This window comes from Homo sapiens, chromosome 4 (assembly GCF_000001405.40).
Source record: "Homo sapiens chromosome 4, GRCh38.p14 Primary Assembly".
In the NCBI taxonomy this organism is placed as follows: domain Eukaryota; kingdom Metazoa; phylum Chordata; class Mammalia; order Primates; family Hominidae; genus Homo; species Homo sapiens.
In genome coordinates this window covers 134908013-134922455 of record NC_000004.12, presented here as the reverse complement: position 1 = coordinate 134922455, position 14443 = coordinate 134908013, and the positions used below count along the sequence as shown (strand labels likewise).

At 33.5% G+C, this 14443-nt stretch overlaps 2 annotated features.

Annotated features, from left to right (window-relative positions):
• Nucleotides 4620–5819: an enhancer, noted in NCBI's record as "P300/CBP strongly-dependent group 1 enhancer chr4:135837792-135838991 (GRCh37/hg19 assembly coordinates)". NCBI's record gives its function as "activates an origin of replication core promoter dependent on BRD2, BRD4, P300/CBP, MED14 and CDK7 cofactors, with strong dependence on P300/CBP, by STARR-seq in HCT116 cells {active_cell/tissue: HCT116}" and the evidence as "EXISTENCE:reporter gene assay evidence [ECO:0000049][PMID:35650434]".
• Nucleotides 7773–8326: an enhancer, noted in NCBI's record as "NANOG hESC enhancer chr4:135835285-135835838 (GRCh37/hg19 assembly coordinates)". NCBI's record gives its function as "activates a minimal SCP1, AML or CMV promoter by ChIP-STARR-seq in primed H9 embryonic stem cells {active_cell/tissue: H9 hESC(primed)}" and the evidence as "EXISTENCE:reporter gene assay evidence [ECO:0000049][PMID:30033119]".

Here is a 14443-nt window from a genome sequence, read left to right as displayed (position 1 = left end):
TACTGAATAATAGAAATCTGCCATGTAAAATCAAAGAGAATGAAGAGTCAGTTCTATGAGAGGTAAGATCCTTTTATAAGTCTGGAAAATCAAGCTATTTATATAGTTTTTCTCTCAGTGTTTTGGTTTTAATACATTTTTAATTTAAGACTTGCATTTGCTTATGATATAAAGATCTAAAATGTATTTTTAAAATATATGATGACCTCAAAATATTTCCAGTTAACATTTTTTTTCTTGTTTTTGAATTCACAGTAGAGGCTGAACATCTGGTAATATGATTCAAATGTCCTCCATCTTCTCACCCTTGAGATTTAATTTGACTATCTGCTATTTATATTTTGATTCAAATTTCAAAATGCCTACTTTAGTCTACTGCAATATGTGCTAGGGGATTTCAAATGGATGAATCCAATATATCCTTTAAGATAGATAGTTCTCCCAATCCTCAAAATATTACTGCTAGGTAGAGCAATATTTATCAAAGGAAAAGAAAATCTGCAATAGGAAAATGACTTTATCAATCCAACATTGTTATATTTTATAGACAAATGCAATCCAATAAAATATTAATAATTAAAATAAGAATATTAATTTAGTAACTACAGTAACCAGGATGACAATTAGTTGAAAAATAAATGTAAGTATTTTGGAAGGAAATTCTCAGAAAAAAAGATTAATTATACCTTTTGTTAACTGATATAAATTGAGAATATTATTCAAAATTCTCACCAGACTCTGCACCCGGAAGGCATTGCCAATTTTTCTGATTTTATAACCTAGATATTCTCTTTCTTACTAAGCCATCTTAGATAATTTATATGTAACTTTTCACAGTGGAGTGCTTGCAGTGGCTAATATCAGTGTTTGTGATCCTACTGAAATTTTGTGAGCCAGTGAATGTCATGTTCATAGCTTGAATCACCTGTGGTTAAAAATGTTTGCACCATAGAAAGTGGCGTAAACACTACAAGTCAAGATCTTTTTTTTTTTATACTTGTTAAACATATATCAAACATATATCGAACATAGAGAACACAAATCACTAAACTTTAGTTTTTCTATTTGTAATATATGGGTAATCATTGCACCCGCCTTTAACTTTTTTGGTTATTTTGTAAATTGATATTTTGAAATATGTTGAATGGTAGATGATGTAAAGTAAGCTCTAAATAAATGTGATTATCTAGTAAAACTAAAATATCCAAGTTAAAACCATTAAAGCTAGATCTGATACATTCTACAAGTATACATTGAATGCCTCATAGTGCTAGGTCCTATTTTAGACACTTGGCTTAGATTAGTTAATGAAACAGATTCCTAGCCTCCTAGTGTCTGCAATCACACTAAGGGAGGCAATATACCTGAGAAATTTTTACATAATTTAATATTTTTGAAGTGTCACCTACTGTTAAAAGAAAAGGAGGATAAAACAATGAGATGGTAAGGAGAGAAATTTTACATAGGGTGATCAGAAGTAGACATCGTGTGAGGATTCCACAAATGAGTTGTGAAAAAAAATACAAATATGATGACAAATATTTTTCTAGTTTTTCTAAAGGCATAAAAAGATTTATTGAACAGATCTATTCTGACACTACATCTAACTCCATTTTTCCCAATCTTTTTTTTTTTTTTTTTTTTTTGTGACGGTGTCTCCCTCTGTCACCCACGCTGGAGTGCAGTGGCCCGATCTCAGCCCACTGCAACCTGCGTCTCCCAGGTTCAAGCGATTCTCCTGCCTCAGCCTCCCTAGTAGCTATGATTACAGGCGTGTGCCACAACACCTGGCTAATTTTTGTACTTTTAGTAGAGACGGGGTTTCACCACGTTGTCTATGCTGGTCTCTAACTCCTGCCCTCTGGCGATCCGTCCGCCTCGGCCTCCGTAGATGCAGGGATTACAGCGGTGAGCCCCCACGCCCAGCCCATTTCTTCCAATATGATTATTTTCTTGGCCAGTGGATATTAATAAAATGCTTGAAAAATCTGAACACCCAGTCTTGAACACCTGGTATTAAAGCATTTTAGTAGAATTTGAATTAAGTAGATTTGAACGCAATATTAGATAATCTAAATAATATAAAAAGCATTAGTTAGTTACCAATGAATATCGTGGATACAGAATATTTGTGGCTTGCCGATAGGGAGCGCTCACTGTTAATAAAATAAATTTCTGGAAGCTAAATTAGAGGTCTAGGGAATTAAGGCGTGAAGATCCTGAGGGACTTGTCGCTATCTCCCTTCTAATTAACTATTCCCATTTTACTGTAAGCTGCTATGCAACCGATTAAACTTACAGCAGTAGAAACTGTTATCACAGCTGAAAATTCTCAGGAAGGAATACTCTTCTCTCCTTTTCTCTGAGCCAAGAAAGGATATGGCTTCTCATTTTTCTTGATATCAAGTAATAGCTTCATTTTTTTAATGCAGTGCAAGTTTGGGGAGTATGGAGTTGCAAGGAGAAAGAAAGATTGAGCAAGAAAGAAGAAAGCTAAAAGAAAAATACAATGTAAAAATTATTTTAGAATTTCTATCACTTTTCTATGAAAGTAATTAGTACTTATTTTCTAATAAAGTTACTAAGTTATATAAAAATGGTAATTCTAGAGCATATAAAAATAATAATATAAATATTTTAAAATCTATTGTAAAAAAGCTATTTATTATAATAATAGTAGAGGCTTTCTGGTTATATACAATGGACCTCTTCTTTGCTTCTTCTCTACATCAAAATAATAGAAATAAAAAATGAAGCTTTAAAAACATTTTCTTTTTTCTACATATTTAGTAAATATTGTTTTACTGTAATATATTCTTAACTATCTGAGCACTACTTAACAGAACATGTTTTAGCATGAAGGTAGAGCATTTTGTATAGTGAAATGTGTACATAAATAAAGCTATGAATTAAAATAAAATTTCATGCCTTATAATAGAAAAACTATTTCAGTGAGTATGAGGAATAGACATGACTACTTAGCCTGGTTTTGAAACACCGCAATAAAGAAAGGAACTTAAACAAATATTCTCTTTATATATGTTACTGTGAAAACATTACATATCACTGGCTCTTCAAGCATTTGATTTCTTTAAAAATAAAATTACACCTTAATTAAATTTTATTTCAATATATTAAACTGTTTTATATAATACATATGATACAAATATATATTTGTATTTTATGCATTTATACAGATATTTGTGTATTATTATAACAAATATATTAAACTGTATTATATAAATGCATATTTCCCCTTAGATAGTGAGAAGAATATAATAGAAATAGAAACGTAGAAGATTAGGAAAGAAAAGTAAAAAACAAAAAGAGGAAAAATGTGTTGTGAACTAAAAGGCTCTGATAGGTTTCCCTTTACCAGCCACAGGTGGTTTAGATGGTTTACAATCTAACTTCCGAAATGTAGGTTATTTACATATACTTCTATTCTGGAGTAGTATGTACATTATAACACACAAAATAAAAACTAAAAGTTTGAGAGAAAGATTTAATGTAAATAATTTATGATATTTATTAATGGTTTTTATACGTAATTAATTAACTAAATACATTAGTCTACCGATAGGCTGAACAGTTTCATGATAGAGAGCAGAGACACTGGGCCAGGCCCAAGTGCCTGGGTAGGAATTCCACTTCCTTGCTGTATGTACTTCCTGTGTTACAATGCTGTCTGTATCTGAATCCCTTTTTATGAAATGGCAATAATAATGTTACCAACCTCATAGAAATATTTAAATGATTAAATGAATTTTAAAAGCACTTAGAAGACTTAGTAGTAGTAGTAAGAACTTTTGAGTTGTAATTTCATCTTTTGTGATTCAGAGAATCAAAGATGCTAATTTGAAATTATTTTAACTTTTGATCATATTTGTTTTCCTTGGACAAAAAGCTATCTCATAGTAATATGTAAGTCCACATAAGAAAACTAGATCATGTCTGCACTTAAAGAAATAAGATTCTCATCTTGTAATCCCATGCAAATTACTTACTATAATTGAACTACTCAATATCTGTCTTTTCTGATACTGTAAATTATTCCTGCACACCAGTCTAAAAGCATTATGTTTCGCATTATGTTTCATACATGTTAAGCAAATGATCTCAAAATCCATCAAAAATATTTCAAAAAACTAAATAACTTAGCTATGTTGCCTCCATGCTTTTAAATAACGTATCCATGTGTGAGGTTTTATGAGTATTAGTTTTCTAGGGCTGCAGTAACAAAGTACCACAAACTGGATAACTTAACAGAAATGTACTGTCTCACAGTTCTGGAGGGTAGGAATCCAAAATTAAAATGTTGTCAGTGTTGTTGCCTTCTGGGAGCTGCAGGGGAGCATCTCTTCCATGCCTCTCCTAGCTTCTGGTACTTTCAGGCATTCCTTGGCTTGTAGATGGTGTTCTCCCTGTCTTCACATCATCTTCTCCCTGTGTGTATCAGTATCTTGTCCAAAGTGTACCTTTTTATAAATACATGCTCATATTGGATTACAGCCAACTCTAATAACGTCAAATTACCCTAATCATCTGCAAAAATCTTATTTCCAGATCAGATCACATTCACAGGTACTGCAGGTTAAGATGTTAGTAACTTTTGAGGGACAGAATTCAGCAACCCACAACAGTATGTAACACACTTTATTGTCTGTGGCAACAAAATAGTATTCCAATGAAAATGTGCTCAAATAGACTCTAAATAACACAGGGTAAAAAGAAAACTAGTTTCTCCCTTAAGGTATTATTTCACTTATGTTTTAAAATATCATTTTATGTTAAAGGAACAGAATAATTGTGTCTTTAAAATTCACTAGAAAAAATATGAATGAGAGGCACTCATCATAAAGAAGGTCAGCAAATTTGGAAGTTGTCTTTGCATGAACGAAAAGCATACAAAATACTTAAGGTGAGTTTTATCCTTAGTGAAAACAGACATGATTGCACATTTCAAATAATAATATTTGTAGATGTTTTGCCTGAGTTCTTGTCAAACATGGTTCATAGATCATCATTTCTACTTTTTTTTTTGAGCAGTAAAACTTTTTAATCACCTCGGTGCAGGTGGACTGAGTCTGAAAAAGGAGTCAGCAAAGGGAGATGGGGTGGGGCAGTTTTATAGCATTTGGGTAGGTAGTGGACAATTACAGTTAAAGGGGGTTTTCTCTTGCTCACAGGGGTGGGGGTCACAAGGTCCTCAGTGGGGAGCTCCTGAGACTCATTGTCCAGGAGAAGGAATGTCACAAATTCAATTGATCAGTTAGGGTGGGGCAGGAGCAAATCGCAATGGTGGAATGTCATCAGTTAAGGCAGGGATTGGCTATTTTCACTTCTTTTGTGGTTCTTCAGTTGCTTCAGGCATCTGTATGTATACGTGCACGTCACAGGGGATATGATGGCTTAGCTTCCGCTCAGATGCCTGACATTCCTGTCTTCTTATATTAATAAGAAAAACAAAATAAAAGAGTGATGAAGTTTTGGGGCAGTGAAAATTTTTTGGGGTAGTATGGAGAGATAATGGGCAATGTTTCTCAGGGCTGCTTCGAGAGGGATTAGGGGCAGCATGGAAACCTAGAGTGGGAGAGATTAAACTGAAGAAAGATTTTGGGATAAAGGTGATATTGTGGGGTTGTTAGAAGGAACATTTGCCATGTAGAATGATTAGTGATGGCCTGGATGTGGTTTTGTATGAATTGAGAAACTAAATGGAAGACACAAGGCCCGAATAAGAGAAGGAGAAAAACAGGTATTAAAGGACTAAGAATTGGGAGTATAACTAATATAAGGCTTTAGATCAGGACCTTAGGGGCAGTAGAATGTTCAGTTTGCTAATTTGTTCATTGTACCCTTCTTTGTATTTACAATACTTCGTTATATTTGGGTTTTGTTTACTTTCCAGAAGCCTATTAATACCTTTGGATAAAATTATAATAGTTAACTAAGTTAACATTAGATAATATAATTCCAATTACACTCAGATTAAGTAAGAATCCCATAGGCAATCTGTATATTTTCTAGATTAGAATTATACTAAAAGTTCTGATAGTTTTTTCTCAATGAATTGTATCTCCAAGGATAAAGATATCACATTTTGGATACTGAGACCAAAATTCAAGAGGAATTTCATAGGTTACATTCATACATATGCAGTTGTACATATGTGGAAGTATATGGCAACCAGTAGAAATGTAGGTTGTCTGGTAGCATCATAAGCAGTTATAGTGTTTTTTATGGACTGTGCATTAAAAAAAACCACCGAAACATTCAGGATGAGTAAAAAAAATCAACTAAGTGTTTTGAACTCTGTAATAATCCTAAATTAGCACACCTGGACACATAAGTTCTTTAACCTCTTTTCATAAAAGTTTTTATTTGCTAATCTAGACTGAATATGAGTCCTTCTAACACATCTCTTCAGGCACACAGCATGCAGGACTTCCTTTAAGGTTCGCTATATGCAGTAAACAGATTCCCCCATATTCACTTGTTCACAAACAGCTATTTTTAATCATCTCCTTAGTTTTAAGGCACTGGGGGAATAATTATTTTAATTGTTTTGTTTTCTCTGATGAATGCAGATTTAAAGCCAGAACTCTTGTCATGCCTGTGTACGTGATGTTATTCTGAAATGATACACAACTCAGTGAAGTGTAAAGAAAAATAATTATGGTCTCTTCACTTAACATGTCGATATGCTGAACAAATTTAAAATCATAGTTCAATAAGTCATAAAATATGAAAGTACCATACCAGAAGTCTTGTCAGTAATCTTAAGATATGGGTCCTATAACCCTATATATATATCTCAAAGCCATGGGACACTGGAAACATGAGAAGGAAGCATTATGGCACATTTATCATTTATACTGCATGTGAGGTTAAGACCCCTAGCTTTCTTATGATGGTTCCACTTCAGTGGTGTAGAAATAAATGTATCTCAGTACTCCTTTGCCTTCACAGTTATGCATTATACTGTAACAGATTTTCCAGCAAAAGACACTTTTTACACAGGCAGAAATGAAATATATGGGCCGTAACAATTCGGTGCCTCCTTTATAGTATGTTTCCTTAATCTATGCACAGTATGCAGGTGATAATTTTGATAATATCAAAACAATAATTTCATATGTTTTCAGAGGCCCTTGGTCACATTAACATTTGTAGAAACTCAAACCAACTTCACCAGATATATCAAACAAAAGTCAGGGAGCATTCAGTATGATTTCTAGATTTAGGAATTATTATATACTATTAGCAATGATTCAGAGACCTTAAATGTGGTCAGATAAAGCATATGAAACAAGCAAGCATTTTTTTTTTTTTTAAACTGCTGCTAGAAAACAGTTTGAATTGTTTTCATCTTTGATATATGGTGCTGATTCCTCTGTTTTCCCCAAGGAGTGTTTTCCACAAAAGCCCCAGGAGTCATGGGGAATCCTTGCGCAGAATGCATGCGTCAGGTTGCTAAGGGGACTTTCCTCCTTCATATTCCCCTAAGAAGGGGAGTGCCCACACTAAAGCTTATTAGGATGTTCTCTATAGTAGGTGCATGTTCATTAAATATGTAATCTCTTGATATATACGTTATACTTTCCATTCGATTCATGGGAAATAGATGTGTAAATGTCATTTCTAATGTCACCATGGGAGTTATAGGACTAATTCCTCTTTAACTATCTGAATTATATGCCTTATTTAAAAGTATTAATGAGATCAGAAAAAAATATATACTTTCATGTACGTCCGTGTGAAGAGACCACCAAACAGGCTTTGTGTGAGCAATAAAGCTTTTAATCACCTGGGTGCAGGCGATAAGGGTGGGGCCGTTTTATAGGATTTGGGTAGATAAAGGAAAATTACAGTCAAAGGGGATTTGTTCTCTGGTGGGCAGGGGTGGGGGTGGCTAGGTGCTCAGTGGGGGAGTTTTTGAGCCAGGATGAGCCAGGAAAAGGACTTTCATAAGATAATGTCATCACTTAAGACAAGGACCGGCCATTTTCACTTCTTTTGTGGTGGAATGTCATCAGTTGAGGCAAGGACCGGCCATATTCACTTCTTTTGTGGTGGAATGTCATCAGTTAAGGCGGGGCAGGGCATTTTCACTTCTTTTGTGATTTTTCAGTTACTTCCGGCCACCTGGGCATATACATGCAAGTCACAGGGGATGCGATGGCTTGGCTTGGGCTCAGAGGCCTGACATATACAACTTGGAAAAAATGACCTTTCATTAGGACAGTCCTCTAACAACTGCCAGAGATGTTTTTAATTTGGTTACATCTAGGAGACATAGGGGTAGAGGAAATATTAAATGTTTTAAATATACTATAAAGGCATTACTAGAACACATCTATGCAGGAAAGCATAGATGGTTCATTGAACCAAGATCTGGTTCAATGTGTTGATCTTACTGATGTGGCAGCGAAAGTGGTTCCTTTATTTGACAGGTACAAATCACCTAATTTTTAAATGTTTGACAATTGTACATAATCAAATTTACATAACTGTACAAATTTAATGTTTGACAATTATACATAATACAAAGAATGTTGGCAGTATCTCGGTATCTTGAAGCTATACTATGCTCATGAACTATTGTGCAAATATTTTTAAATATAGTGTATTTCTGGCTATTTTAAAGACTTAATTCAGTGCATCTTTACATTTCTCTCCTTCTTTATATTTAATGAAATACAGATTATATTAAGAAATATTACGTGAGTGCAACATACCTTTCATAATGTTAGTGTACTCAACACAAGTCAGTCTTTTGATAATATTTAAAAGTTTCCAGTTAATTTGCAGGTAATAAACTTTTCTAGAGCTACCCGAAACTAGAAAGAAATGTCTGATAAATTTAGTTATATTCATTTGAATGCTAAAGTATGATATATTAAAACATGTAGCCTTTTAGCAAAAATGCTACCTGATAAAGCTTATTCCCTTAAAAGGGGCATACTTCAGGCAGTTGTTTCAATGAAAAATGTGTCAGATGAATTGACACAAATGTATTTATTTAACTGATTTGGATTTTTTATGTCAATCCATTACTCTATTATCTTTTAATACACCAAAGTGTATCATTTGATGTAAACTTACAGTTTATTAGGTACTTAAAAATCACTCATTTCCTTAAAAGTGGGGTAGAATATATTAAATATTGTCGGCAACATTGAAAATACATACAGTAGTGACTAATAGGTATTTCCTCTACATCCATTTATTAAAATATATATTTATGTAAATATTGGGTACTTTTTGACATGTATATTTTATTTCACAAATATTTAAAAATTTGAAATAAAGCTATTAAAGCAAAGTATTTCTCTTCAAATTTGTCCAGGTCATCCCAATATTAACCTCTTAAATTAAGTAAATTTAAATTAAGTAAATTAAATATACACTATCCGGTCTAGCCATTGTGACTCCTATCTCCTCCCCTATTTCTTTTAGTGCATCTTCATTAATTCAATTCAATTCCTTTTTTTTTTTTTTTTTTTTTTTTTTTTAGGACTGATATGGCCCTGGCATCATGAGCTTTCATTCTTGTGTCTTTGCGACTTTTTTCAATCTATAAGGACTTAAAATTCTTTATAGAAAAGAGATTAAATTTTTTTGTTATTTCTTGGGAAACTGGCCAAGAAGGGACTGATAATCTTTCACATCATTTTCAGATTCCTCTTAAAGTCTTTTCGAAGTTTCAAATGTCACACAATTGAGCATGAATTATTGAGTGATAAACATCATTTTATTTGCATTATTTTCTATACTTTTGTTTAATTCCCAAGACATCTAAGCCTTTTCCCAATGCTATGACTTTTCCTTATCAATCGCAATGCTAATGTGACTTGTTTCCAATAGTTTTCAGTAAGGCTGTTTTGCCTATTGCCTAAAGATGCCCCAGCAGGTTCCTGACACTGTATGTCTTTTCATTCTTGTCTAATCTTGGTTAGATAGTTCTTGAGCTGTGTTAAAGAAAAATTGTATGGGGAAGTTAAACAGATAGGGAAGACTTTATTGTAAACTATTGAAATAAGCATCAAGATAACTTAGTTCTATTGAAACAAAAGGTGTAGTGAGCACGTGGGAAAATAGTGGAGAATGTTAGTGAGGAGGCTGGTCAATGTGATTATGCCATCTGTGTTTACTAATTGGTGCCCATCATAGTTAGAAGCCTAGCCTTCCACAGAGACTGTGAGACAGAGGAATTATCTTTTTAAATGATTCCATTTCAACGGGTTGGCTTCCAGGTTCCTGAGAAAAACATTTTTTTGGGTTGTGAAACTGGCCAGAGGCTGGGAGAAGATTTACATCTCAAAGGCGGAGAAAGAATTTACAATGTCAAGTTTTCTAAAGTAAATGCCCTAAAAAAAAGGAATGTCAGGGGCCTATAGTTAGGAAGAAAGCTGTTTAAACTTCAGTCAAGCTGAAGCAAAAACTTAAGGCAGTCTTGGTCAGATTCCATAATGAATTATTTCATGATTGCAGAAGCATCCCTCCAAAATGGGTGAACATTCCCTTTTATTCTCATCTCTATGGGTCCTCTGCCTCATTTCAAGAGTTAGACAATGGCCAAATTAGGATTAAACATTTTAAATAAAAGAAAAAAATCAGTAATGATATCATTTGATCCTATTTGGAACAATCTTAGAGATAATTATGGAGGAATTATTTATTAAATACCCAGTAGTTCTACTATAATTAAAAACGAAGTATGAAGTTTCTTCAACACTGTCAAATAAAATTTAATGACAAAAAAAATTCTGAACAAATTGTTTTTCTTCTTTGGGGAAAAATATTTATTCTTTAAGAGTATAGTAATTCAAGGCCATTTTTAAAATCCTAATCTTCTATGTCTGAGGGACTAAGGAAAGGAAGGGGTTTTAGTCCAGTTATATAGGTTATCAGGAATTAAAATACCAGTGAGAGGACACATTACAGAGAGGAGATTCCACATTCAGTGAAGGTGGAACAAGGCATGAAATAAAATAAACATAGGTTACTAGAAGGAAAGTATGTGCATTTTGACATAAACAGTTCATTTTTTCAGGGAACTGAATTTGGAAAGTGAGAAATCAGTAGATATTATACTTGGAAACTTCAAGTATTACTCCCTATCTCCACAACTAGACTAGTGCTGAATAAATAATATATATTGAACACTGGTTGATATTTCTTCCCATTAGAATAATACAAGGTTAAATGGCATGGTTAAGACAAATGCTAGTGTAGAAGGGATTTGGGGGAAAAAAAACAAAACAGTTTGTATTCCTGAGAAAGAGTGCACAAAAGAGGTGATGATTGTGAGTGGAAAGAACCTTAATGTTGCTCCTGCACTGGAGTAAGGTAAGAATACAGAATAATAATTTTTATGTTTTGAGTGCTGTGCCAGATAAATAACTTATTTAAATATTACAACAGAACATCATATTACACATTCAATGATGAGGTATGGAAAGACCAAGTAACTAACAAGTAGTCACATTGCTGGTGTGATTGTCTTAGTTATCGATAGTTTTAATGAACTTTGGCTATGATACTAAATGTATGGTTTCTTTGAATTTCTACATGTAGATCATTTATCTTGAGGACAAAAGTAAATCTGAAGAGCAACAGACCTTGAAACTGAAGTCTTCTCATTTTCTTTCGTATTCTACATATATTTCATCATAAGTTCCTCATGACCAGATAGTCCAGATATGCAGTCATGCATTGCTTGATGACAGGGATAAACTCTGAGAAATTCACAGTGATATGATTTTGCTGTTGCACAAACACCATAGGGTTTACTTACACAAATCCTGATAGTATCACCTACTACCTACCTAGGCAATGTGCAATACCTTATTGCTCCTAAGCTACAAACCTATACAGAATGTTACTGTTTTAAATACCATAACTAATTCTAACACAAGGGCATGTGTGTATCTAAACAAATCTAAACATAGAAAACCTATAGGAAAAATATGATACTGTAATCTTATGGGACCATCATATATATGCGGTCTGTCATTGATCAAAATGTCACTATGTGGTGGATAACTGTATTTAGAATTCAAATCACTTTGCACTACTTCTTCTGCCACCATTCTGTTCAGACCTACCATCACTTCATACCTAAATTAGCTTCTGTGTTCTTCCCTGGCTGTAGGGCCAGCTGCATAATTTCTGGAGCCCAGTGCAAAATAAAAATATACATACACAAAAAAGGTGGGGAAAGCAGTATCAGCCTTCCCTGCTGGGCCAGCTTCCAACCAACAAGCCAGTTGAGCCAGCCACATCAGTGAGCTCAGGAAACACCCCCTCAATGGCATAGCCAGCACAAATGTTTGCGAGAAATAGTAAATTCCTATTGTTTTACTCTTAAGTTTTGCATATGTGTTTTTATGCAACAATAGAGAAGATAGTGGTTTTCCAATTACAACAGCTTTTTTTTCCATAAGTGATTTTTAAAATTCCTTCTCATAGGAGGAATTTTCATTCTATATCTCTTGAAATTGCATTTTTCTACATTGCATCTTTTTCTAACAAACAGCAATCATTTAAAAAATGGTGAGAGGAATTACAGAATAGCTGTGCATGAAATCCCATGGCTTTCTGTTTTGTTCTGTTTCATTTCTACCAGCATGAAGAAAGTTTCACAGCAACTTTAGTAACTTAACCCAAGCTTCTCTCCTTCTTTTGATCTCCCCCAGCCAGGTCTATTGAGAACTGAAATTTGAATTTAATTGTTTCATTATCAATGAGAATTTTCTCAGTCTATTTCAGAAGAACAGGTTTGAGAGACAAAATTCTGAGCCTATCTGAGAAATCATTTTCTCAAAGGGCCTGTATCTCTTCTAAAGCAAACAATTTGATCAATACTTAAAAGAAAATTTAACAAGGTTTTAAACAGAGTAAAAGTGATTTTACTGAGAACATATTTTTTCTCAGTTTGAAAGAGAATCAATTGGTGACTGTTATGATCTAAGAACTCCTCTTTGTTCTTTAATTTCCATGCTAATTGACAGATATAGAGAGTTGGATTAAGCATTTTTTAAAACATTACTTCAAATGCTAAAAGAAAGAATTTTAGGAGATATGATAACATTTTTTAAACTGACTGGAAAACATCAGTTACCTTTTCCTGGAGCATTTAATACTAATTTCATTTTTGTATTTAAAAATAGTTTATTAATGTATTATAAATCTATCTTTCATCCATTTTTAATGTTAATTTTTTATCATTATGTTTATATATTTTTCCTTTTAGCTTTGATGGTAATGTTTTAAATCTATAGTTCACAAATTAATGAATCATTAATATGAAACTAATAAATCTGTTAAAAAGACCTTCAGCAAGATGTATGTGCTTCACCTTAGATAAAACTAGTAACTTTAAAGTGTATATAAGTAACAGATATTTAAAGATAGTTTACTTATATGAAGCAGACATTCTCTTGCTTGTAAGATGCATGTTGTACTAAAGAGAGCAGGGCTAATGTCGATAAGTTGGGTGGTGGAGCTATCTAGACTACTATCAAATTGTATAACATTAACAAAACCACTTTATCTCTGAATAACAGTTTCCTAATGAAGGTGTATATAATCAGTTGCTTGGTGACCAGATTAATTGAAAATTTGTTAGAAAGTTTTAAAAAAATAAATTGAGAGCAAGAAGTTTTCCTCACATATCTTCTCCTTGAACAGGGAGTTATATTTTAAGTATTCCTCTCCTCCATTGAAGTGGAATGGAATTGTCCTAAGCTGTAGATTAAAAAATGCCTTAGTAGAGAAGTATTCTTTCTCTATTAAAACAGCATGAATTAGTACACATTACCATGCCAAAGGTGGCTATTGAGTCCTAAAAGAATTGACAATCTTTGCAGATATAGGCAGAAAAATTACAATTGCAATCATATCTCAGGCTGCTTTGTGTCCATCTCTACTTTTTTTTTGCTGGACAGATTGCGGATGGAGAGGAGAGACGATCAAGGCACTAACTTGTAGTCAATGCAAGTCATGCTTGTTTTTTCTGTTGTTTCATTTTAAGATTTTACCTTTTTATAATAGAGAACAAATTGGGAACCAATTGAAGCCTGGAGGATTTTGCAAAAAGTTAATGACGTTTTCTGGTTTTGCTTCTTTCTCATCAGATCTCTCACCCTCCTTAAATCATGTATGACCGGAAAAGCAGACATTTAGTGTCATTTGGGTTAAATTTAAGGTACCTGTGCCATACTAGGCACTGTCTGCTCAAGGGGAGAGATGGAGGCCAGGGATAGTTTTCAGTGTGTAAAGTGGAACTTAGTCAAGTTTCTGTGAATAATTGGAGAGGTAGGAATCATTGCTTCAGGTGAACAGATGCAGGTGCTTGCCTTGACAATTGGACTTTTGTCGTTTTTGGCATGCATCATTCTCGGCTAATAACACATTGGCACCTTCAGACTAATCC